The sequence below is a fragment of the Homo sapiens genome, chromosome 19 (assembly GCF_000001405.40).
Source record: "Homo sapiens chromosome 19, GRCh38.p14 Primary Assembly".
In the NCBI taxonomy this organism is placed as follows: Eukaryota; Metazoa; Chordata; class Mammalia; order Primates; family Hominidae; genus Homo; species Homo sapiens.
In genome coordinates this window covers 12,459,331-12,486,096 of record NC_000019.10, presented here as the reverse complement: position 1 = coordinate 12,486,096, position 26,766 = coordinate 12,459,331, and the positions used below count along the sequence as shown (strand labels likewise).

The 26,766-nt window shown below is 43.1% G+C and overlaps 1 protein-coding gene across 1 annotated transcript; it reads left to right on the top strand.

The window, feature by feature from the left end:
• The first annotated feature begins 1,280 nt into the window (after positions 1 to 1,280).
• On the top strand, positions 1,281 to 24,913 carry ZNF709 (zinc finger protein 709). The gene is made up of 4 exons (NM_152601.4): positions 1,281 to 1,442; positions 19,247 to 19,373; positions 19,578 to 19,635; positions 20,364 to 24,913. The coding sequence occupies exons 1-4, from the start codon at positions 1,440 to 1,442 to the stop codon at positions 22,099 to 22,101; spliced, it is 1,926 nt and encodes a 641-aa protein (NP_689814.1). The 5' UTR covers positions 1,281 to 1,439; the 3' UTR covers positions 22,102 to 24,913.
• The last annotated feature ends 1,853 nt before the right edge of the window (positions 24,914 to 26,766 follow it).

The following is a 26,766-nucleotide window of genomic DNA, read 5'->3' as shown; positions in this document are numbered from 1 at the left end:
GTACATGCCAAATTTACATAATCTTTTGTGGTTTTTTAAATAATCTCAGTGAAAATGGAATTAATTGCCTTATCGATATCATAGCCATTTACATTTCAAAATTCTCTAGGGGCTGGGTGCAGTGGCTCATGCCTGTAATCCTAACACTTTGGGAGGCTGAGGCCAGCAGATCACTTGAGCCCAGGAGTTCAAGATCAGCCTGGGTGAGATAGTGAGATGCTGTTTCTACAAAATAAAAATAAAAAGAAAGAAAGAAATTAGTCAAGCATGGTGGCACGTGCCTGAGGTTCCAGCTACTCAGGTGGCTGAGGTGGGAGGATTGCTTGAGCCCAGAAGGTCGAGGCTGCAGGGGGCTCTGATTGCACCACTGCATTCCAGCCTGAGGGACAAAGAAGGGCCCTGTCTCAAAAACAAAAACCACAAACCAAACAAACATAAAGGATCCACAAAAGTTCTCTAGGGACATAGTCAAAAACTGGTCCGAAATAAATATCCTTCCAGTGTTCAGTTTTACTGAACACATCTCATGGCTTTGGGTTTAACTGAATAATTCCTCACTGGGCACGGTGGTTCATGCCTGTAATCCCAACACTTTGGGAAGCCAAGGAGCATCACCTGAGCCCAGGAGTTCGAGACTAGCCTGTGCAACATAGTGAGACCACCCCACCACCGCCATCTCTACCGAAAAAAAAAAAAAAAGGAACTCCTTCTCTCAGACTAGGGCTGTGGGGTCCAAACTTCCCACTAGAGCAAAGTGTGGGGGGAGGGAAGGGATGGGTGACGGCCTAAACCCTGTCAGTTGTCAAAGATTAAAACGTAGTCACTCTTTGTTAGGTATGATGAGGTCACTCTGTCACTCTAAGTGTCTGTATTTGTAAACAAGAGTCAGAAATCCATGAATGGCCTCGCAGCCTTATGCTAAGTCTGGGAGCGTCTGACCCTTCCGTTCTAGTCTGGCATGGCCCGGGCGTCCTTTTTCGCTGTGGACAAAGAGCCTTTTTCTGGAAACTGAGCCTGGAATTTCCTGCGCTGTGCACGCTTGTGTCTCCGCGCTCAGAAGGAGCTGCAGGAAGACACCAGTGCCCGACCCCGGGTACGTTAACAAATTCTGCTTAGACGCAAATATCCGTGGCAGGGGAACAGATTCCTGACCCCGGACGAATGCAGGTTGCTTAGAGACGCGACTTCCCTACTAGCTGTCACTCAGGCAACGAAGGCGGGTCCAAGAGTGCAATGTCCAATCAGGGGCGCCGCCGGGAAGGCGGGCGGAGGGGCGCTGCGCAAACGGCGAGGGCGTGGCTACCAGCCGCTGCGCTCCGCTCTGGGGTCTCCTCACCCCAGAAGGCCCTCAGGTGGAGGAAGGGCCTCAGGTGGAGGTAGGACCTGTGCTGGCCGCGGGAGAGGTAAACAGAACACCAGGACATCCCAGAGTCTGGGAAATGGTAAGTGTGCGGGGCTGGGGGTCTTGAGATGGGAGAGAGGGGCGGGTTGAAACCGGCCGGATCTGGCTGTGGTGGGACCCAGGCCTCCCCGCCGTTGTCTCCCGGGTCTGTGGACCCGAGTCCTCCTGGCGCAGCTCGGCCCTCGGTCTCTTTGGCCGCAGGATGGGGCTGGGCCGGCAGCCGGGACCCCGGACGTCTTGTCAAGTCCCTGCGCGGCGACTGCGGCCCCAGTCCCGGAGCCCTCTCTGGGCAGCTCCGAGCCCGCAGCCTCGCGTCTCCCCAGATTGTGCTGGGGCACGGGAGGGTCATGGAGGGAATCCCGTCTCGGTCGTGGGGTTCGTGCGTGGGAGGAGCAGTGTTGTGTGGGGTCCTCAGTCCCTCTTTTCTTCCCAAGGGAGGACTCGTTTCTCAAGGTTTCCAAGTGTATGGGAAGCCAGATCTCAAACCCACGACCGTGTCCTCCAGCCTGGCTCTTCCCAGAGCTGGGATTAAATCCCTAAATTTCTAGATCTCTTTCAAATGCCAATGTCTTCTCTCCAGTTCACAACGTCGTTATTTCAACCAGACGCAGTATTTTAATTATCCTTTTTGTACAGAGGAATGGATGGTTCTTTTAAAAAGATTTAACGTATGCTTTGGGGTATTTATATGAGAGGAAAACAGAGGAGAAGGACTTGAAGCTACCTCGTGTAAAATGCTTGTGCCTCTCTTGCCAGTATCTCTCCTGGGACCTGACATCCTATGGGAACTCCTTTGGGTTGAGTCTCCTTTTTGGAAACTTTTCTGGGAGATCTGTCCTTTCCAGCGCAGCACTTCCCCTCCCTGGGCTTATCACCTTGAAAAGATTTACTCACTTAATTGATTCTCAAAAAATGTAAAATATACGTAATTAGGAGACCTACAGCCCAGCCAACATGGCGAAACCCCGTCTCTACTAAAAATATAAAAAATTAGCCGGGCGTGGTGGTGCACATCTGTAATCACGGCTACTCAGGAGGCTGAGGCAGGAGAATCACTTGAACCCGGGAGGCAGAGGTTGCAGTTGAGATGAGATTGCGCCACTGCACTACAGCCTCGGCGACAGAGTGAGACTCTGTCTCAAAAAAATAAAAAAATAAAATAAAATAAACCTTTAGAGTGGATGTAAAATATTTCCAAAGAGGCAAGAAAGAGATGGGTTTCAGAAAATAATAAAATATCAAGCTAGGAGCGTTGGCTCACGCCTGTAATCTCAGCACTTTGGGAGGCTGAGTCAGGAGGATCGCTTGAGCTCAGGAGTTCAAGACCAGCCTAGGTGACATAGAGAGACCTCATCTCTACTAGAAAAAAAAAAAAAAAAAAAAAAAATTAGCTGGGCGTAATGGCCTGCACTTGTAGTCCCAGCTACTTGGGAGGCCGAGGCGGGAGGATTGCTTGAGCCTGGGAAGTTGAGGCTGCTTTGAGCCTTGATCATGCCACTGCACTCCAGGCTGAGCAAGGTCTCACACCTTGTCTCAAAAACAGAAAATAATAATAATGAAATATCCCAGTATGATATTGCATTTATTAAAAATTTTTGTTTCTCTTTTTTTCTTCTGAGAATGTATAGCAAGTTCCTCAGGTCTGTTCTTTCCTTTTCGGTGATTTCAAATGGAATTCCATTCTGGGCTCAGGTTATCCACCTGCCTCAGCCTCCCCTTTGATTTCTTCAAACACAGGGTTTGTCTCATGTAAATATCAGTAGTGGTCCAGGTCACTTGACTGGAGAGCAAAGAGGACTCAGGTCAGTGACTCCAAGCTCTAAGACCAACCCTTGGGTCTCCCAAGGGATGTAATCGAAGGCCCAGTTGTTTCTTCCTAGGGAGCCTCCCCTGCAGGTGTCCTACCTGCTCATACCTACTGTGGAAGGAGCCCTTTGTACTGAGAGAAGCTGCTGAGCACTGGAAAGCTGGGGATCTGAATGCACGTTGGGGGATTGGCTGAATCCAGTGATGCCCTTCCTGAGGGCATAATTGTGGTTTCCTTGGGCCTATTTTTAGACATTAGGTTTGAGTTTTGCATCTGTTGTGTAGGTGCACTCAGTGTAATTTTTCTATAGTGAGAAAGTCTGTAAAGGCCAGGAGATCTGTCTCCTGGACACAGGATGAATGAACTGGGGAGTTCATTTGGGTCAGAACCTTAATCTCAGTCCAGTTGAGAGTTTCCTCACTTACAACAATTGAAGGGGCGATTTCCCTGTCACCAGGGGTGAGGGAATGTGTGGAGCTCGCTGAGTTCATTCCTTTGGCTCCTCAGGTGCCCCTGCCCTCTGTCACCAGGGACTGTCTCACTCTAAAGGTTGTTGCCCAACAGCAAGAATGTGGGCCCCAAGCTTGTGTATGTGTTTAGCTTTCTGAGTGTGGGTTTTCCTTCTGAATTGTGGAGAAGCAGTCTGCTAGTCTGAGCTGACTTGAGAGGGAGAGGGAGAGAGAGAGGGAGAGGGAGAGGGAGCGTGTGTGTGTGTGTGTGTGTGTGTGTGTTTGTGTGTGTGTGTGTGTATTTTAGAGGTGGGTTCTCACTTTGTTGGCCAGGCTGGTCTCAAACTGCTGGCCTCAAACAGTCCTCCCACCTTGGCCTCTCAAAGTGCTGGGATTACAGATGTGGCTTGGCTTTCCTTTCCCTTTCCTTTCCTTCTTCCTTTCCTTTCCTTCTTCCTTTCCTTTCCTTCTTCCTTTCCTTCCTCCTTTCTTTCTTTCCCCTTCCTTCCTTCCCTTTTTTTTTTTTTTAAGTCAGTGTCTCACTCTGTCACCCAGACTAGAGTGCAGTGGTGTGATCATAGCTAACTGTAACCTCGAACACCTTTCTTGGCTCAAATGATCCTCCCACCTCAGCTTCCCAAGTACCTAGGACTACAGGTGTGCACTGTCACACCTGAATTTGTAAATTTTTTGTAGATCCTCACTGTGTCCAGGCTGGTGTTTTTTTTTCCCTTTGGATTCCTTTATTTGCTGACTATTACAGCAGCTGAATTCTAGTTTCTGTTAACACTTTTTAATGTTATTCCATATGTGAGTGTGTTAAATTTTGTTTCTTGGGTTTGAAAATGTAAGTCGATTGAAAGGTATGATGCAACTAAGGCAAGAAAATTCTGAAACCAGGCCGGGTGTGGTGGCTCACGCCTGTAATTTCAGCGCTTTGGGAGGCTGAGGCAGAAGGATCACTTGAGGTCAGAAGTTCGAGACCAGCCTGGCCAACTTGGTGAAACCCTGTCGCTACTAAAAATATAAAAATTAACCAGACATGTAATTTTTGGTGGGTGGCTGTAATCCCAGCTACTCGGGAGGCTGAGGCAGGAGAATTGCTTGAACCCCGGGTTGCAGGGGAGGTTGCAGTGAACCGAGATTGTGCACTGCAATCCAGCCTGGGCAACAGAGCAGGACTCCATCTCAAAACAAAAAAAAAGAAAACTCTGGAACCAAACAGAATATTTGTTTCTTTTAGGCAAGAGAACCTCAAGATAAGAGATGAATGTATTTACATTCTCAGGTACATTTTTCATTTTTAGATCGGTTTTTGTATGTGCATGTCATAGAGTACTTGGAAATTTAAAAGAGGCCAGGCATCGTGGCTCATGCCTGTAATCCCAGCACTTTGGGAGGCTGAGGCAGGTGGATTGCTTGAGCCCAGGAGTTTGAGACTAGCGTGGGCAACATGGCGAAACCCTGTCTCTACAAAAAAAAAAAAAAATTAGCCAAGTGTGGTAATTTTAGCTGGGTGTAGTCCCAGCTACTCAGGAGGCTGAGATGGGAGGATCCCTTGAGCCTGGGAGGCAGAGGTGGCAGTGAGCCAAAATTGAGTCAGTGTGCTTCATTCAGCCTGGGCGACAGATTAAAACCCTGTCTCAAGAAACAAAAACAAAAACGAAAAAACCTCAAAGTCCATATGATTCCTATTGCAAATGAATTTCCACTGGAACTGAAAGGAAAATGCAATTGAACTTTTTTTTTTTTTTTTGAGACGGAGTCTTGCTCTGTCGCCCAGGCTAGAGTGCAGTGGCGCGATCTCGGCTCACCGCAAGCTCTGCCTCCCAGGTTCACGCCATTCTCCTGCCTCAGCCTCCTGAGGAGCTGGGACTACAGGCGCTCGCCACCACGCCCGGATAATTTTTTGTATTTTTAGTAGAGACGGGGTTTCACCGTGTTAGCGAGGATGGTCTTGATCTCCTGACCTCATGATCCACCCGCCTCGGCCTCCCAAAGTGCTGGGATTACAGGCGTGAGCCACTGCACCTGGCCTGAACTTCTTTATTTGGTAGAATAACTACTCAAAGCTTATATATATATTTGAAAATCCTAACATACTTAAGATAAAATGCTAATGCATTATAATATGCTACTCCTTCCCAATAGCACCTCCCAGTGTGAGATGGTAGGACACATAATAATGCACCTTGTCATTATAGTTAGAAAGAGATTTGAAAGTTTTTCACTTTTGTAATTGTCAGTGCTTAAAGTATTAAGTTTTTGTTTGTTTTTTTTTTAAAAAACAGGGTCTCGCTCTGTTGTCCTAGTTAGAGTACAGTGGCACAATCATAACTCACTACAGCCCTGAACTCCTTTCACCTCTGCCTCCCAAGTAACTAGAATTACAGACATGAGCCACCATGCCCACCTAATTATATATATATATTCTTTTTTGTAGAGACAGGGTCTCACTCTCTTGACCAGATTGGTCTTGAACTCCTGGCTTCAAGCAATCCTCTCAACTTGGCTTACCAAAATTCCCTAGTATGAGCCACCACACCCAGCTGGATTCAGTCTTTTTTTTTGAGACAGAGTCTCACTCTGTCACCAGGCTGGGGTGCAGTGGCACAATCTCAGCTCACTGCAGTCTCCTACTCCCAGGTTCAAGCAATTCCCCTGCCTCAGCCTCGCGAGTAGCTGGGACTACATGCGTGCACCACCACGCCCGGCTAATTTTTTTGTATTTTAGTAGAGACGAGGTTTCACCATGTTGGCCAGGATGGTCTCGATTTCCTGATCTCGCGATCCACCTGCCTTGGTCTCCCAAAGTGCTAGGATTACAGGCGTGAGCCATCGCACCCGGCCTGGATTAAGTCTTAGGATTGTTTCATACGTAGAAAATTTTAATCAAAATTTAAAAAGCAAAAGTAAGTTGATTAAAAATGAAGATTATTAAGTAGTAAAATATGGCTTATTTAAATTTAGCTGTTTATTTTAAAGAAATCATGCATGTGGAAGTTAGAAAAAAATCCACAATAGTTGAGTCTAACTTGAAAAGACTCACTGCCAGCATATTCTGGTCCAGTCCAGCCAGGGCACTTGCTCTAGCCACCCCCCAAATACTCACTTTTGATAATTTTTTATTTTTTTTGAGATGGGGTCTTGTTCTGTTGCCCAGGCTGGAGTACAATGACATGATGATAGCTCATTGCAGCCTCAACCTCCTGGGCTCAAGTGATCTTCCCACCTCAGCCTCTTCAGTAGCTGGGACTACAGGTGTGTGCTGCCACTCCCAGCTAATTTTTAAATTTTTTGTAGTGATGGAGTCTTACTATGTTGCTCAGGCTAGTCTTGAACTCCTGGGCTCAGGCAATCCTCCTGCCTCAGCCTGTCAAAGCACTGGTGTTATAGGTATAAACCACTGTGCCTGGCCTTTTAATAATTTCTTAAGCATACTGTCAGTGTTTCTTTTTATAAAAATAAGCAATTGCAAATGCATGTTTTTCATACTCATGTTGGTTCTGTAATGAGTAGTTGGACTCTGCATGTTTTGATTTTGGCTGTGCACATCATAAGCGTCACCCTTCTCTCTTCTCCTCGTGCTGCACACCTGGGCAAGCTGAAAAAGTCTGGGAGCAGGAAATTCAAACCACAGAAGCTCCTGCCCTTGAGCAGGTACTCTCTTGTAGCCCCACCCCCAAACTACAATAAAAACCCAGGCCAGGAGGCTTTCTTTGCTCTCTGAAGCTATGTCACACCTGCTTGGGCAGCCTGCCCTGCTTTCCCCAAGACCTCAATGATCACAGTAGTGAGTCTTTTCATACCCTTTGGTGTCTGTTCTCCACGCTGTTATTAGTGTCAACATTGGAACGACACAGGAATTGTTACCATGAGCATGGTGTTCAGACATTGACTGTCACCCCATGGGTCTGTCTTCTCTTGCACTGAATTGCTACCTGCTCTGTTGCCTGATGGCCAGCATGCACTTTCAGCTGCTGCTTTCTGGGAAGCTACTACTTTGAGTTGTGCTACTCTGTGCTGCATGTTGAGCCCTGCCAAGTCTGGGTTCTATGTTTAGCCAACTGGAGTTGGCCGTTTTGATAATTCCTTGGCTTTTTTGAAGAGGAATATGAGATTTGATACTCCTTAAAGTGGTCCTGGGTAGTGTTTCTTGGCCTGGACTTATCTGTGTGTTTTAGAGTGAAGCTGTGACTGCTGCTGACCTGGCATACAAGGTGCTCATGGGAAAGACTACCTGCCAGAGCAGTCATTTTTGAAAAAGAGACAAAAGAGAGGGGGAAAGGCAGCTGTTAGATGGTGGGCCGAGTCCACACTCCTAATAGCACAGGGCTCCCAAGGACCCTTAAGTGTTGCTGCTGTTGCTCTATTGCAGCAAGGATGCTGACCCTCAGGATTATAGGGCACACTCATGTTTCCTCTGCAGCATTGCAAAGGGTTCATTCAAAGCCAGCTTAAGGCCCAGGTGCTTAAACTTTATAAAGCAACCATGAGGGACAGGCCCCTAAGCCTGATAATAGTGATTTGTGGCTCTCTGGAGGGAAAAGAACACCCCTCCCCTGTAGAGAGGATTTTGCTGTCAAAATATATCCAGGGACAAAAACAAAAACAAAACAAACATGTTAGGAAGGAAAGGAACAAAAGAAAAAAATGCTGAAAAAGAGGTCCACAATTTGACCCAATTGGAAATTCCAAATAGACTAAAGGAATTTAGACGGCAAAAAAGATAAAAGAGCCTCTATATCATAGGTTCTGTATTAATTTTAACATCTTATGTAATGTATTAATTAACACACTATAGGATTAGCCAATACAAGGGCTCAAATTATGGTTATACCTGGGAGACCCACTAAAATTTAAGCAAGGTATCCCCTGATAATCTTAAGGGAGTTACTGAATATAAAATAGAAGACAAATAAGTATGTCTCATCTTAGCCATCATAACTGTGCCTAAATTCCCCATGTTCATGGCACCCAGTGTCCTAAAATACGCCAGAATGAACAGGTAAACTCTAAACCAGTGAGTCATAAGTGAAATTTAAATTAAATCTTTGGCACTTACAAACTGGCTTGACAGAATGAGACCCTGTGGAACTTACTCCCCAGTTAAATTAGTTATGATGGCTCAATATAAATTGAACAGGGCCTTGAAGGGTTGAAAAGTATTATGTAAAACTTGTTTAGTGAGGAAGTGATTATTCCCCGTGCTTCTCGTTTTAAAAGTACAGTTTGGCCTTTCTTAAACTTGGAGAGAATGAATGGCAACCCACAATGGATTACCATAACCTTAATGCTGTGGTCCCACCCATTAAGCCCCTATACCAATATCCAACATGGAAATTACTGACACCATCCAGCTGATCTCACAGATTTCACCATCTCACAGGCTAATTATATAACTTTACCTAGTTTCCCAAGGGAACCTCAACAGCCTTGCTGTTGCACAGTCTTTGCAGGCAAAATCTGAACTGCATCCACCTTTCTCTAGAACACAGGTATGATATTACATTAATGACAGCCTTGTCTGAGGACATTGTTTTGGCATTCATTCAGGACACATAAATACTGAAAAAAAAAATAGAGCTTACAAAAAGTCCATTGCCCCATATATAAAATAAGAGACCTTTATGTTTTGGTTAAGTTCCTAAAAACCATTTGGTAAAAGGAGGGCCGCTCCATCCCTGACACTACTATGAAATAGCTATTGTCCCTCTGACTACCCACAGCATCTTCTAGGTTCTTTTGATGTTCTGGAGGCAACATATTCCTTGTTTATAAATTTTACTTAACCACTTTATGCTGTTAATTGCAAATTGGCCCACCTTAAGTGGGTCCCCCTACCGCAAAAGGCTCTAGAGTCTTTTTCATTCTCTTAACACAGAGCTTTCATAGAGAAGGAGCTTTTGCATTTTAATGAAGTCAAACTTACTGATTTATTTTGTATGGATTTTGCTTATATCTAAACATTTGTCACCAAACCCAGGGTCACCTAGATTTTCTTCATTAACTTTTAGTATCCTATAACTTTACTTTTTTTTTTTTTTTTGAGGCAAGTTCTCCCTCTTGCCCAGGCCAGAGTGCAGTAGTGCAATCTTGGCTCACTGCAGCCTCAACCTCCTGGGCTCAAGCACTCCTCCCACTTCAGCCTCCTGAGTAGGTGGGACTACAAGCGTGCACCACCACACCTGGCTAATTTTTGTATTTTTTGTAGAGATGGGGTCCTACTTAGTTGCCCAGGCTGGTCTCAAACTCCTGACTTCAAGCTATCCTCCTGCCATGGCCTCCCAGAGTGCTGGGATTACAGGCATGAGCCACTGCTCCTGGCCTAGATTTTACATTTAGTTCTGTGATCCATTTTGAGCCAGTTTTTGTTTAAGGTGTAACGTCTGTTTCTAGATTTGTGTTTTTTTCATTGTGTTTTGCATGTGGATGTTCAGTTTTTCCAACACTGTTTGTTGAAAAAGGCTATCTTTTTTCATTGAATTGCTGTTGGTCATTTGTTGAAAATCAGATGACTCAGTGAGTCTATACTATACTAATGTGAGTCTGTAAGAAGGCAATTGACTTTTGTATATTAAGATTATATCCTCAACCTCTAGTTTGAGGAGTTTGTTGTGGATTCTTTGAGATTTTCTACTTAGACAATCATGTCACATGCGACAAAGACAGTGATATTTCTTTGTTCCCAATCTATATCTCTTCTCTCCTCTCCTCCCCTCTCCTCTCATTAGTTACACTTTGAGTACAATCTGTTGAGTAGGAGTGGTAAGAGGGGACATCTTTGCCCATTTCCTCATCTTACCAGGAAAGCATCTATTTTCTCACTATTAAATATGATATTAGCTGCAGGTTTCCTATAAATACTGCTTCTCAAAAAGAGGAAAGTCTATCTCCAGTTTCTTATCATAAATGCATGTTGGATTTTGCCCATAGCTTTTTCATTTTTATTTTTCCCACTTACATTTGTGATATTAGTAATTTCTGTTCTCTGTTTTTCAGTTAGCTTAACCATACATTTATCAAATATATTGATCTTTTCAAAGAAACACCTTTGGTTTTGTTTAATTTCTCTTTTTACTATTTCTTCTGTTGTGTGCTTACTTTGGGTTTAATTTGCTCATATTTTCTTGCTTTCCTCATGTAGATGCTTAGATTTTTTTTTTTTTTTTTTTTTTTTTAAGACGGAATCTCACTCTGTTGCCCAGGCTGGAGTACAGTGGTGCGATCTTGGCTCACTGCAACCTCCGCATCCTGGGTTCAAGCGATTCTTCTGCCTCAGCCTCCCAAGTAGCTGGGACTACAGGTGCCCACCACCATGCCCGGCTAATTTTTGTATTTTTAGTAGAAACAGGGTTTTGTCACTTTGGACAGGCTGGTGTCCAACTCCCGACCTCAGGTGATCTGCCTGCCTCAGCCTCCCAAAGTGCTGGGATTACAGGTGTTAGCCACTGTGCCTGGCCAGGATTTACATCTTTTTAATATTCAGTGTCCATTTTACAAGTTATGGTAGCTATAGTCACTTTAAATACTTTCATCTTTTAGCTTTTATACTAGAGTTGAAAGTGATGTTTGTACCACCATTATGTATAAGAATATTCTGGATTTGACTATACTTTTGCCTTTACCCATGAGTTTTATACTTTCATATCTTTTTGTGTTGCTAATTAGCTTAACACTTTGAATGTATTGTCCCACTCTCTTGACATCCAAGGTTTCTGCTAAGACATATATTTATAGTCTTACAGGTGTTGGTGAGGATTTAGAGAAAAGGGAACCTTGGTATACTGTTGGTAGAAGTTTAAATTTAAATTGATACAGGCATTATGGATAATAGCATAGATGTTTATCAGAAAATTAGAAAAGGAATTGCTACATGATCCAGCACTCTGCTTCTCCATATTTATCTAAAGGAATTGAAATCAACATCTTGAAGAGATATGTGCACTCCCATGTTCATTGCATCATTGTTCACAACAGCCAAGATATGTAAACAACCTAAATGTGTGTCAACAGATGAATGTGTGATGTTTACATAAAATAAAATATGATTTAGCCTTTAAAAAAAGGAAATCCTGCCATTGACAACACCATTGATGGACGTAGGGGACATTATGCTCAGTGAAATAAGCCAAACAGAAAGGCACATTCTTTGTAGTCTCACTTATATATGTAATCTAAAATAATCAAACTCATAGAAGCATAGAGTAGAATGGTAATTTGCAGGGGAAGGGGGAAATGGGGAGATGAAGCTGAAGAATACAAAGCTTCAGTTATGCAGATAAATGAGCTTTGAAGATCTACTATATGGCATAGTACCTATAGCTAACAACACAATGATTTTATAGTTAAACATTCCTTTTAAAAATGTTTAAAAATTTGTATTCATTTTTAAGATGGGATCGTGCCCCATTATCCAGGCTGGAGTGCAATGGCACAATCGTGGCTCACTGCAGCCTCAAACTCCTGGGCTCAAGCAATCCTCCTGTCCCAGCCTCTTAAGTACCTGGGACTACAGGCAAATGCCACCACACCCACCTAAGATTTTTACATTTTTTTCTAGAGATGTGATCTCACTATGTTGCCTAGGCTGGTCATGAATTCCTGGCATCAAGTGATCCTCCCACCTTGGCCTCCCAAAGTGCTGGGGTTATAGGTGTGAGCCACTGTGCCTAGTCTTAAAATTTCTAAAATAGATATTATGTTGTATTCTTAACACATAGAGAGACACACAAATAGTAATAATAATGAAGGGGGAAAGAAACTTTTGTGATGAATATGTCTATGTCCTTATGATACTGAGGGCTTCATAGGTGTATACTTATCCCCAAACTCATTGAGTTGTATACATTAAATATGTACAACTTTTTCATGTCAATCATTGCCTCAATAAGTGATTTAAAAATATAAATTTATAGGTGAGCTTTGGTCAGTCATTAATTAGTCTATTGATGTTCTCCTCTGGCTTATCTCCATCCTGCTTCATAGATGGCCACAGTCTTGATTATTTGATTATTCTTTATACCTTTATCTTCCATTTCACTATGTGATGTTCTTTTAGTTGAGCCTTATTTGAACTTTAAATACATGAGTATTAGTGGAATTAACAATGAAAAGGTTTTTGAGTGGTTTTGCCTCTGTGTTTCACATGATAGTGACAGGCTGGGGGAATCCAATTTTATCATCCAATCCATTGATGGTGGTGTTTGGGCTTTTTCCAGTTCATTTTTTGCTCTTGTGAAAAATACTGATCCTATTGTTTTGGTATCTGTGTCTAAGTACAAATACACAATAACTTCTCTGGATGTTGGAGAAAAATCACTGTGCTATAGATTATGGTCAAGTTCAAATATACAGGAAATAGCAATGGAGTGTATCAGTTGATCTTTCTTCCATTCATGCATAACTATTTGTCTATTGGCAGTGGTCATCAATACTTGGGAGTAGCTAATTGACTGATTTTTGTCCTTCTAATATGTAAGAAATTGGATCTATTTGGTATTTCATTTGGCTGTATCAAGGAAGGAGCGAGATGTACCTTTTCCTTTTTTTTTTTGAGACAGAGTCTCACTCTGTCACCCAGGCTGGAGTGCAGTGGCGCGATCGTGGCTCACTGCAACCTCCACCTCCCATGCTCAAGCAATCCTCGTGTCTTGGCTACCTGAGTAGCCAGGATTACAGGCCCGTGCCACCACACCTGGCTAATTTTTGTATTTTTTGTAGAGACAGAGTTTCGCCATGTTGGCCAGGCTGGTCTCAAACTTCTAACCTCAAGTGATCTGCTCGCCTCGACCTTCCAAAGTTCTGGGATTACAGGCGTGAGCCACCGTGCCCAGCCAGACCTTTTTTCATATATATGGTGTGTCATCCTCTCTTAAATATGTTTTCATTATTTTTCCTTTTTTTTTTTTTTTTTTGAGATGGAGTCTCGCTCTGTCGCCGAGGCTGGAGTGCAGTGGCACGATCTGGGCTCGCTGCAACCTCCACCTCCCGGGTTCAAGCAGTTCTCCTGCCTCAGCCTCCCAAGTAGCTGGGATTACAGGTGCCCACCACCATGCCTGGCTAATTTTTGTATTTTTAGTAGAGATGGGGTTTCACCATGTTGGCCAGACTGGTCTTGAACTCCTGACCTTAGGTGATCCACCCGCCTTGGCCTCCCAGAGTGTTGGGATTACAGATGTGAGCCACCGTGCCTGGCCTGTGTTTCCGTTTTTAAATCATGTGTTCACTTTTTATTTATTTGGCTATTTTATTACTTATTTATTGACAGAGTCTTGCCCTGTTACCCAGGCTGGTGTGATAGCTTACTGCAGCCTCTAACTCCTGGGTTCATATGATCCTCCTGCCTCAGCTTCCTGAGTAGCTAGGACTACAAGTGTGAGCCATCATGCCTGACTGTTCATTTATTTTTACTCTGCATACTAGTTCATTTATATTGCATGTATGTCACATATTTTTTTCCTGCTTTGTGATTTGTCTTTTAACTTTCTTGATTTTAGTATGTTTGAACTTTTCAGTCTCATCCTTTATGGCTTACTCTTACATGAGAAAATTCTCCCTACTCTTGCATTTAAAAAAGTTTGCCTGTGACTTTTGAAACAGTTTTAATTATATTATTCACATTTAAATCTACATTAAATTGATTATTGTCTATGGAAAAGAGCTGATGCAATGCTTTTTCCAGTTAGACAACAGTGTGTCCCTTCTGCATATATTGAAGTGTTAGTGATCTCTTCCACTACCCTACAATGGTTGCTCTATCATTAATCAATTTTCCTTATAAATGCCAGTCCATTGAAGACACTTTTCCCCTCCCTTGTTCTATTTAGCTCTCTGTGTGTCATGCTGTTTGGAGTGTTAATAGTTTGAAAATCCTTGATACATACTAGGCAAGTATTTATGTTGCTCTTCAAAAGACTTTACCCATTGTTTGACATTTATTGTTCCTCTTAGGTTTGGAAAAGTAGTTTTTCTTGACTATTTTAGGGATTTGTAGAATTTTATAAGTCTATTTTAAGAATTTTATAAGTCTATTTTAGGGATTTGTAGAATTTTATAAAGATATCATTTGGGAGCAGTGGCATCTTGTTGACACTGAGTTTGTTCTGAGAACATGTACCAACTTCCACCTTAATTTAATTCTGCTTTGACATTACCCAATAACATTTTTAAAATTAGGATTATTAAATATCCTTTATTAGCCTTATTTAGTCATAGTTGGTGTGGAGGAAAGCAGATGCAACCAAGCCTTTAAATGTTCTTTCCTGATGTAATCACATGGAATGGGCTCAATTCCCCAAGCAACAAGTTGTGATATGATATATTGTCTGCTAGGGAAGCTCATTAGAGACCCAGTGCTCACAGTGCTTTTGGGGGGCGGATCAAGTAGGCATCCTCTGCCTGGCATGTGAAAAAGTCCAGACTCTAAGAAGGAAAAAAGGAGTTCAATATATACTCTATTGATTCCATAAACCATTTAGGCACGCTAAGCCACTCTTTTTTTTTTTTTTTTGAGGTGGAGTCTCGCTCTGTTGCCCAGGCTGGAGTGCAGTGGCATGATCTTGGCTCACTGCAAGCTCTGCCTCCCGGGTTCACGCCATTCTCCTGCCTCAGCCTCCCGAGTAGCTGGGACTACAGGCTCCCGACATCACACTCAGCTAATTTTTTGTATCTTCAGTACAGACGGGGTTTCACTGTGTTAGCCAGGATGGTCTCGATCTCCTGACCTTGTGATCCGCCCACCTCAGCCTCCCAAAGTGCTGGGATTACAGCGTGAGCCACTGCACCCAGCCACACACTAAGCCACTCTTTATCACTTAGGTTGGCGGGGTCCCTCCCAAATTCTCACTTCCCAGATATCAGTGAAGGACAACAAATGTTTGGAGACCACAGAATCATATGTGAACTTTTTATGAATTGAATATATACCCTCAGGCATTTAAAGATAAGTAGTCTTAGGTTAACATTTTACTAATGTTAACAGTCTTCTGCACACTAGGTAGTAGGAATTTCTTTGAACAAGTGCCATAGAACCACTGTACAAGGAACAATTAGAACTTACGTGATCAGCTCATTTTACTCCTTTGACCCAACAACAAGAAAGGTGTGGATATTTCTGTTACTTTACCAAATAGGTAAATTCTAGTATCAGGATTGCTGTTTGGGAGCATTTTTTCTGTCCTTTGCATATGGACATCAGTAGGTTAATGATCTTTTTCAAAGGCCAAGATTTAGGGGAATTATGCCACTGAGGGATTCCTATGCTTTGGTGTCGGGATCTCATGCCACCACGTACCTCACGGGAGCCTAAAATGAGAGACGTTGGGAGGATGGCCAGCCTCTAGAGTAGCTGTTTGCGGATCACTTCTTTCTGAAATTGGAGAAAGGGAATTTCATATCCTTTTGGAGGACAGCACTGCTGAACCCTTTGAATTTTGTAATCATGGGCAAATTCAGTATGAAACCATTGTGGACTTGGGTGAACTCCCTTGCAAATTGAAACTGTTAACCTGTTACTCAAATTCGTTAAGTCTCAGGGTACACTGTTAGGTTTCTGAGGGAAAGAGCTGTTCTGGCATCTTATCATCTCCATCCTATGTGTGCTAACAGTGGTCGCAGTCCTGAGGCTCATGAGTGTGGGGATTTTTTGAAGACTTAATTTTATTTTTTTGAGACAGAGTCTTGCTCTGTCACCCAGGCTGGAGTGCAGTGGTGCGATCTCGGCTCACTGCAAGCTCTGCCTCCCAGGTTCACGCCATTCTCCTGCCTCAGCCTCCTGAGTAGCTGGGTCTACAGGCGCCCACCACCACACCCAGCTAATTTTTTTGTATTTTTAGTAGAGACAGGGTTTCACCATGTTAGCCAGGATGGTCTCTATCTCCTGACCTCGTGATCCACCCTTCTCAGCCTCCCAAAGTGCTGGGATTATAGGCGTGAGCAACCGCGCCTGGTGAAGATTTAATTTTTATGATCTAAGTTGCCATGCCTTTTTCCTCCTGCCTGTGCTCTAACATCCCAGTAACCTCCTGCCTCCATCAAATGGGACAGGGAGAAAAAAGAAACACTGGGTCTGTGATAAATATTATACAAACAAGTTAAAATTAATATTTCACTAAAAGAATATTTTCACTCCACCAGTTGGATCTGACTAATTCTAATGGTCTGCAGTACTTCGGTACAACATGGCCAGCAGGATGTTGTTGCAAGTTGCACGGGCCCTCTGGCTTTTCAGTGTAATCATGGGAATAGAAGAAAAAATGTACAGTTCTTCAGTATATACTTATTCATTAAAATCTCGTGGCTGGGTGCGGTGGCTCACACCTGTAATCCCAAGCACTTTGGGAGGCCGAGGTGGGCGGATCACGAGGTCAGGAGATCGAGACCATCCTGGCTAACATAGTGAAACCCCGTCTCTACTAAATATACAAAAAATTAGCCGGGCATAGTGGCGGGCGCCAGTAGTCCTAGCTACTCAGGAGGCTGAGGCAGGAGAATGGCGTGAACCCGGGAGGCAGAGCTTGCAGTGAGCTGAGATCGCGCCACTGCACTCTAGCCTGGGCGTCAGAGCAAGACTCTGTCTCAAAAAAAAAAAATCTCGTACAGATTTGACCCTGTGTTTCATGGGATGCTGAGTGATATAGTACATGATAAAGCAGGAGATAAAAAGTATTTTTCTTACAAGGAATTGTTGGTCTTAAACTGGAAATATTTGCTTCAATCGTATAGCATTTCTTTTTTTTTTTTTTTTTATTGATCATTCTTGGGTGTTTCTCGCAGAGGGGGATTTGGCAGGGTCATAGGACAATAGTGGAGGGAAGGTCAGCAGATAAACAAGTGAACAAAGGTCTCTGGTTTTCCTAGGCAGAGGACCCTGCGGCCTTCCGCAGTGTTTGTGTCCCTGGGTACTTGAGATTAGGGAGTGGTGATGACTCTTAACGAGCATGCTGCCTTCAAGCATCTGTTTACCAAAGCACATCTTGCACCGCCCTTAATCCATTTAACCCTGAGTGGACACAGCACATGTTTCAGAGAGCACAGGGTTGGGGGTAAGGTCATAGATCAACAGGATCCCAAGGCAGAAGAATTTTTCTTAGTACTGAACAAAATGAAAAGTCTCCCATGTCTACTTCTTTCTACACAGACACAGCAACCATCCGATTTCTCAATCTTTTCCCCACCTTTCCCCCTTTTCTATTCCACAAAACCGCCATTGTCATTATGGCCCGTTCTCAATGAGCTATTGGGTACACCTCCCAGACGGGGTGGTGGCCGGGCAGAGGGGCTCCTCACTTCCCAGAAGGGGCGGCCAGGCAGAGGCGCCCCCCACCTCCTGGACTGGGCGGCTGGCCGGGCGGGGGCTGACCCCCCACCTCCCTCCCGGACGGGACGGCTGGCCGGGCGGGGGCTGACCCCCCACCTCCCTCCCGGACGGGGCGGCTGGCCGTGCGGGGGCTGACCCCCACCTCCCTCCCGGACGGGGCGGCTGGCCGTGCGGGGGCTGACCCCCACCTCCCTCCCGGATGGGGTGGCTGCCGGGCGGAGATGCTCCTCACTTCCCAGACAGGGTGGCTGCCAGGAGGAGGGTCTCCTCACTTCTCAGACGGGGTTGCGGCCGGGCAGAGGCACTCCTCACCTCCCAGACGGGGTCGCGGCCGGGCAGAGGCACTCCTCACATCCCAGACGGGGCGGCGGGGCAGAGGCGCTCCCCACCTCTCAGACGATGGGCCGCCGGGCAGAGACGCTCCTCACTTCCTAGATGTGATGGCGGCCGGGAAGAGGCGCTCCTCACTTCCCAGACTGGGCAGCCAGGCAGAGGGGCTCCTCACATCCCAGACGATGGGCGGCCAGGCAGAGACGCTCCTCACTTCCCAGACGGGGTGGCAGCCGGGCAGAGGCTGCAGTCTCGGCACTTTGGGAGGCCAAGGCAGGCAGCTGGGAGGTGGAGGTTGTAGCGAGCCGAGATCACGCCACTGCACTCCAGCCTGGGCACCATTGAGCACTGAGTGAACGAGACTCCGTCTGCAATCACGGCACCTCGGGAGGCCGAGGCTGGCAGATCACTCATGGTTAGGAGCTGGAGACCAGCCTGGCCAACACAGCGAAACCCCGTCTCCACCAAAAAAAATACGAAAACCAGTCAGGCGTGGCGGCGCGCGCGCCTGCAATCGCAGGCACTCGGCAGGCTGAGGCAGGAGAATCAGGCAGGGAGGTTGCAGTGTGCCGAGATGGCAGCAGTACAGTCCAGCTTCGGCTCTGCATCAGAGGGAGACCGTGGAAAGAGAGGGAGAGGGAGACCGTGGGGAGAGGGAGAGGGAGAGTATCGTATAGCATTTCTCTAAGATGCTGTGTATCCTGTCATTGGAGAGCATAAGACTTGAAGTGATCATACTAAAAATGTAGAAATAATTTCCAAGTATTCATGGTGGTGTTAAATTTATGAAGAAGTAAGTGTGGACGAAGATTTGAGTTCTGATGACAAAGTTACAGGATAAATGGAGAAAATTATATATGAACTTTTAATGAACTGAGTTTATATCCCCAGTGCTGTCAGTCTCACCCATCCTCCCCTATACATGTGGGATGTTTCAGGACTCAGTGGTCTTTGAGGATGTGGCTGTGAACTTCACCCAGGAGGAGTGGGCTTTGCTGGGTCCCTCTCAGAAGAAACTCTACAGAGATGTGATGCAAGAAACCTTTGTTAACTTGGCCTCTATAGGTAAGAATGAAATTATTCCCTCACTTAGTCAATTAGAGAACAAGTGTTTCTTGCTCATCAGCAAGGTTCCAAGGTTTAGAATGTTGAAAGGGAATACTTTGGTAAATAAATCAGACAGGATAACAGCTCATCCTAGATTTAGAATCTAATAATTTTTCTGTAATTTCGAATAGGTTTAATGATTTTTCTGGGCCTGCATTTTAGGGGAAAACTGGGAGGAGAAGAACATTGAAGATCACAAAAATCAGGGGAGAAAGCTAAGGTGAGTTGTACTTACAAAAGAAAATACTGTCTTATGAGAGAATCTTAGCATGCCATTAGGTTTAAAAAATGAATAATTGAAACAAATAAGCCCCATTTCATATTTATTTATTTTTTGAAAATTTTTGCCAAGAACGTTTTCTTAAAAATGGTACAGATGTTCAGTATTTGAAAAATATTTCACCTGGAAACAATATTAAGAAACTCTATATTATGAATTTTGGCCAGGCATGGTGGCTCATGCCTGTAATCCTAGCACTTTGGGAGGCCAAGGTGGGCAGATCACCTGAGGTGTGGAGGTTGAGGCCAGCCTGGCCAACATGGCAAAACCCTGCCTCTACTAAAAATGCAAAAATTAGCCAGGTGTGGTGGTGGGTACCTGTAATCCCAGCTACTCATGAAGCTGAGGCAGGAGAACTGCTTGAACCCAGGAGACGGAGGTTGCAGTGAGCCAAGATTGTGCCACTGCACTGCAGCCTGGGCAACAGAGTAAGACTCTGTCTCAAAAAAAAAAAAAAAAAGAAATAAACTCTATGTGATGAATTTTATTGTTTTGATAATAGCTCTGGTCAAGTACTCTTCCTGAGCATTCATGACATACACTTTCCCTGAAAATGGCAAAAGTGTAATTCTACTACCTACTAATGATTGTGAAATAATCAATAATTATAAAATTATTAATTTTAAAAAGCCACTAATTGTGCGTTTTGTTTTGTTTTTTTCTCACAGAAGTCATATGGTAGAGAGGCTCTGTGAAAGGAAAGAAGGTAGTCAGTTTGGAGAAACCATCAGTCAGACTCCAAATCCTAAACCAAACAAGAAAACTTTTACTAGAGTAAAACCATATGAATGTAGTGTGTGTGGAAAGGACTATATGTGTCATTCATCTCTTAATAGGCACATGAGATCTCATACTGAACATAGATCATATGAATATCACAAATATGGAGAGAAATCATATGAATGTAAGGAATGTGGGAAAAGATTCAGCTTTCGAAGTTCATTTCGAATACATGAAAGAACTCACACTGGAGAGAAACCCTATAAATGTAAACAGTGTGGTAAGGCTTTCAGTTGGCCCAGTTCCTTTCAAATACATGAAAGAACTCATACTGGAGAGAAACCTTATGAATGTAAGGAATGTGGGAAGGCCTTCATTTATCACACAACCTTTCGAGGACACATGAGAATGCACACAGGGGAGAAACCCTATAAATGTAAAGAATGCGGGAAAACGTTCAGTCATCCCAGTTCTTTTCGAAATCATGAAAGAACTCACTCTGGAGAGAAACCCTATGAATGTAAACAATGTGGAAAAGCTTTCAGATATTACCAAACTTTTCAAATACATGAAAGGACTCACACTGGGGAAAAACCCTATCAGTGTAAGCAATGTGGTAAAGCTCTTAGTTGTCCCACATCCTTTCGAAGTCATGAAAGGATTCACACTGGAGAAAAACCCTATAAATGTAAAAAATGTGGGAAAGCCTTCAGTTTTCCTAGTTCCTTTAGAAAACATGAAAGAATTCATACAGGAGAGAAACCCTATGATTGTAAGGAATGTGGGAAAGCATTCATTTCTCTTCCAAGCTATCGAAGACATATGATAATGCACACTGGAAATGGACCTTATAAATGCAAGGAATGTGGGAAAGCCTTTGATTGTCCTAGTTCTTTTCAAATCCATGAACGAACTCACACTGGAGAGAAACCCTATGAATGTAAACAGTGTGGTAAAGCCTTCAGTTGTTCCAGTTCCTTTCGAATGCATGAAAGAACTCACACTGGAGAGAAACCCCATGAATGTAAACAATGTGGTAAAGCCTTCAGTTGTTCCAGTTCTGTTCGAATACATGAAAGGACTCACACTGGAGAGAAACCCTATGAATGTAAACAGTGTGGTAAAGCCTTCAGTTGTTCCAGTTCCTTTCGAATGCATGAAAGAATTCACACTGGAGAGAAACCCTATGAATGTAAACAGTGTGGTAAAGCCTTTAGTTTTTCTAGTTCCTTTCGGATGCATGAAAGGACTCACACTGGAGAGAAACCCTATGAATGTAAACAATGTGGTAAAGCCTTCAGTTGTTCCAGTTCCTTTCGAATGCATGAAAGGACTCACACTGGGGAGAAACCCTATGAATGTAAACAGTGTGGTAAGGCGTTTAGTTGTTCCAGTTCCATTCGAATACATGAAAGGACTCACACTGGAGAGAAACCTTATGAGTGTAAACAATGTGGTAAGGCCTTCAGTTGTTCTAGTTCTGTTCGAATGCATGAAAGGACTCACACTGGAGTGAAACCCTATGAATGTAAACAATGTGACAAAGCCTTCAGTTGCTCACGTTCCTTTCGAATCCATGAACGAACTCACACTGGAGAGAAACCCTATGCATGTCAACAATGTGGTAAAGCCTTCAAGTGTTCCCGTTCCTTTCGAATACATGAAAGAGTTCATAGTGGAGAGTAACCCTATGTATATAAGCAATATGGCAAAGTTTTCAGTTGTCCTATTTCCTTTTTTTTTTTTTTTTTTTTTGAGTTGAATTCTCACTCTGTTGCCCTGGCTGGAGTGCAGTAGAGTGATCTCAGCTCACTGCAACCTCTGTCTCCTGGGTTCAAGCGATTCTCCTGCCTCAGCTTCCTGAGTAGCTGGGACAACAGGTGTGAACGACCATGCCCACTTAATTTTTGTATTTTTAGTAGAGATGGGGTTTCGCCATGTTGGCCAGGCTGGTCTCGAACTCCTGACCTCAGACGATCCACCTGCCTTGGCCTCCCAAAGTGTTGGATTACAGGTGTGAGCCACCACACCCGGCCCCCATTTCCTTTTGAAGACATGAAATTATTCATATTTCAGAGAAACCCTATAAGACATGGGAATACCTTCAGTTATTTACATGTGAATATGAGGAAGCATTCATACTGGACAGGAAACCCTGCGAATGTAGGCAGTGTGGGAAAACCTTCAATGGTCATATGACCTTTTAAGGACCATGAGAAGGCATATGAAGTGTAAAGAATTTTCATATGCCCTATAAATGTAAAGAATTTATAACCTTAAAAATGTAAAGAATGTGGAAAACCCTATAAATGTAAAAAATGTAGAAAAACCTTTATTTGTCTTAGTTTACTTGGAAACCATGAACAAACTCACACTGGAAAGCGACTTCTTAAATATAGACATTGTGAGAAAGCCTTCAGTTGGCCCACATACTAATATGTGAGAATGCAGACTGGATAGAAATCCTATAAAAGTGAGATATAGCAATGTTTTCCATTTTAACAAATGCTCATGTGATACTCCCTTATGTGTGAAACTTCAATCTCATGTTGAAACTCCCACTAGGGAGGTACTGTATAAATGTAGATAATATGGGAAAGCCTGATGCAAATTAATTCATGTATATTGTTCTAGAAAATTCACAACATGTCAGAAATGTGATAAAACATATTATCAGTTACTGATTCTTAAAATGGATCTCTGAATTATGGATTTCTATTACTTTCACAAAAGAACACTGAGATGAGATAATTCTGTAAGCTCTTATACAGTTGTACACAAGTTGAATTGATAGTATTTTTTCATTAAATCAGTTTCTGAAATTTTGTCTTTCCATATTGAAGTCTGTTAGATTCATGAGTGAATTGAAGTGTATTTATAATAAGCTAGCAGTTTTGATTTTTATGTATTTTTTAGTTGTGCTGTAATGGGCCATCAAAAAATGACAATTTGGTAATTTTTAGGATTTCCTACTGGCCTTATGTGGCAGGTACTAGATATCATTATATGTATTTCATCTTTCTGACCAAAAGAGGCTTTTTTAGAGGAAGACAGAGTACCCTTTTTTCTATTTTTTATGCTAAAAAATAATCATAATAAATTTTTGAGTCTGCAAAGTTTATCATACAGTATACTCTCTCATTGGAATTATTATTTTCATCTTCTGTTTGCTGTTTGTAATTCCTTCTGGCTGTGATTTGAATAATAGACTTTGTATTAATAAGAGAGATCTGAGATAGAACCATATAACCTATAGCTGGAAATGGCTGTCCTGGATTGTGTTAACATGGGTTATGTTGTGACCTATGTTTTCTATAATCTAACCTTTTATGGCTCCACGGTATAATTCACCAATAGCCTACTTGCAGGAGATATGGAAGGCAGAAGTGAAGAAAGCATTAGTCAGGTTTTATAGCCACCATATGTGGAGACAGATGGATGCATAGGAGCTTCAGGGACACCTGCTTCCACCACATTGTCCTGATCCTTTGCTCTGCCAATTGAGAGTATTCTTAGAACCACCACTAACTGCTTGACTGCCATATTTTCCTTCCTTCCTTCCTTCTTTCTTTCCCTTTCCCTTTCTTTTCTTTCTTTACTTTCTTTTTCCGAGATGGAGTCTTGCTCTGTCGCCCAGGCTGGAGTGCAGTGGTACGATCTTGGCTCACTGCAACCTCTGCCTTCTGGGTTCAAGCAATTGTCCTGCCCCAGCCTCCCAAGTAGCTGGGATTATAGGTGCCCACCACCAAGCCCAGCTAAATTTTTTTTGTATTTTTAGTAGAGACAGGGTTTCATCATTGTTGGCCAGGCTGGTCTCAAACTCCTGACCTCATGATCTGCCCACCTTGGCCTTCCAAAGTGCTGAGATTACAGGCGTGAGCCACTGTGCATGGCCCCAGCTGCCATATTTTCAAAGATGTAGTTTTCCACAAATTGTCTTCAAAAGTTCTACTCAAAGATGCACTGCAGTTTGGATTTTCCTAGAAACTCTAATGTGTCCACCAGGCAACCATTTAGACTCTTAAGGTTGGGAATATTCTCTGATGCTCTGACTCACCTCATCTCTAGGTTGAATTTATCCAAGGTATTATTTATGTAATAAACACCATGTTTTGTTAACAGTACCAGTGACTATGTGTTTCTGATTCCACCGTGACAACTACAGTGGTGCAGTCAAAAAGAACTACATGGGTGTCTGCTTCTCCACTGCACTGTGCAGGGAATGCACTTACCCAGTCCTACAGTGTAAGAATAAGCACCTTCCTAATATCAAGCAGATTGTCGGTGTTTCCTATTACAGTTGAATGTCATCTCTCAGTACATTTTCAATTTTGTTTCATTATATGTGATTAAAAACCATGTGTATGTTTTTGTTGAACAAAAGCTTCTGTAGATGTTTCTTAGAAATATTTTATTAACTTTTCAAATAACTTGTATGCTATCACTTGTCTATTTAATTTTCTGCAAGGATATATTAAAATATTCCATTGCAATTATAGATTTTCAGATTAAGTTTTTTTATTATTATACTTTAATTTCTAGGGTACATGTGCACAACGTGCAGGTTTATTACATAGGTATACACGTGCCATGTTGGTGTGCTGGACCCATTAACTCGTCTTTTACATTAGGTATATCTCCTAATGCTATCCCTCCCCCCTCCCCCCACCCCATAACAGGCCCGTGTGTGATGTTCCCCTTCCTGTGTCCAAGTGTTCTCATTGTTCAATTCCCACCTGTGAGTGAGAACATGTGGTGTTTGGTTTTTTGTCCTTGTGATACTTTGCTGAGAATGGTGGTTTCCAGCTTCATCCATGTCCCTACAAAGGACATGAACTCATCCTTTTTTATGGCCGCATAGTATTCCATGGTGTATATGTGCCACATTTTCTTAATCCAGTGATTTTCAGATTAAGTTTTTAAGTTTATTGAGTTAATCCTCATATATTCTGAGTCAATATTATGTGCATACAAGATCAAGTATTTTCCTTAGGAATTTTTTATTTTTTATTCTTAATATAGTTATGATTTTTTCCCAGAAAATTTCTCATGCATTCATAATACCAAAAACTTAAATCATGGTTGTTTCAGTGCCTTTTTTTCAAAGATCACCAGGATCACACCTGTAGTCAAGAGAAGAGTGTTAAGAATTGTAGGAATAAGAATGATCATAAACCATAAATGACTCTGGGGAGTATCAGTAAGAGGGTGCTCGGCTGGGCGCAGTGGCTCATGCCTGTAATCCCAGTACTTTGGGAGGCCAAGGTGGGCAGATCACAAGGTCAGGAGTTCGAGACCAGCCTGGCCAACATGGTGAAACCCCATCTCTACTAAAAAATATATAAAAAATAGCCGGGCATGGTGGCGTGCACCTGTAATCCCAGCTACTCAAGAGGCTGAGGCAGGAGAATTGCTTGAACCCCAGGAGGTGGAGGTTGCAGTGAGCCGAGATCACGCCACTGTGCTCCAGCCTGGGCGACAGAGCAAGACTCCTTCTCAAAACAACTTCTTTTTGGATTTGGATTTGTTGGGTGACTTGATTGCTAATCACCAAACTGAGACACTCCTGTGTGTGTTGCCTGCTGTGAGGTGAACTTAATTGTGTCACTGGTAATCATAATTCTTATCTAGAGGCAGGAAGAATGAAGTGGAGCTAAACCTAATTCCTAAGAAACCACTCACTTGGATTAGTGAGTAGAGGGCAATTTTGGTCATTTTAATGGCTTCAACTCTGTTCTCTTTTACCATTTTTAGAGACATGGTTATTGTTTTTGTCTTGATCCATCATGATTGCTGAGTAGCTTTGTCTGATGAAGGAAATGTGACATTTTTCTCTTCAACAGGATAAGACTTGGCCTTATCTGAGTGTGAGGTCAGATCCTAGTCCTGTGGAACTGCTCTTAACCTTTCTTATTATCTAAACATGGAAATATTTCTTATGGTGTATTGGACAATGTTTTCCACAAAATATCTCAGTCAAAATATGTAAGTTCACTGAGTCTTTAGCAAACTATATACTTTTTTTTCTCTTTTGTGCACTAGCAGAGTCCTGTAAGTGTAGATAAGTTTTCAGAGACCACAAACCTAGCAAGGTGCAAAGACAGAATCACTGTTCAAATCAAGCCATCTTGCTCTTGATGCTGATTTTTTTAACCTTTCTCATAGGCCTGGCACTGTAGTATCAAAGCATACACAATTCAGCACAAATAATCAAGACATTGTAGGCTATGGATATAGAAACATGAAACAAGTTCTTGCCTTCCTGTTGCTTATAGATTTGGGAAAAGAGAGATGGTTAATAAAAGGTGAGGATTTGGTTTTTAGAAAGCAATTAAGATCTTTGAAGGAAAT

Coding starts and splice junctions, on each gene's coding strand:
- ZNF709 (NM_152601.4), top strand. Junction 19,374..19,577: donor TGTTAACTTGGCCTCTATAG/GTAAGAATGAAA, acceptor CCTGCATTTTAG/GGGAAAACTGGGAGGAGAAG. Junction 19,636..20,363: donor AATCAGGGGAGAAAGCTAAG/GTGAGTTGTACT, acceptor TTTTTCTCACAG/AAGTCATATGGTAGAGAGGC.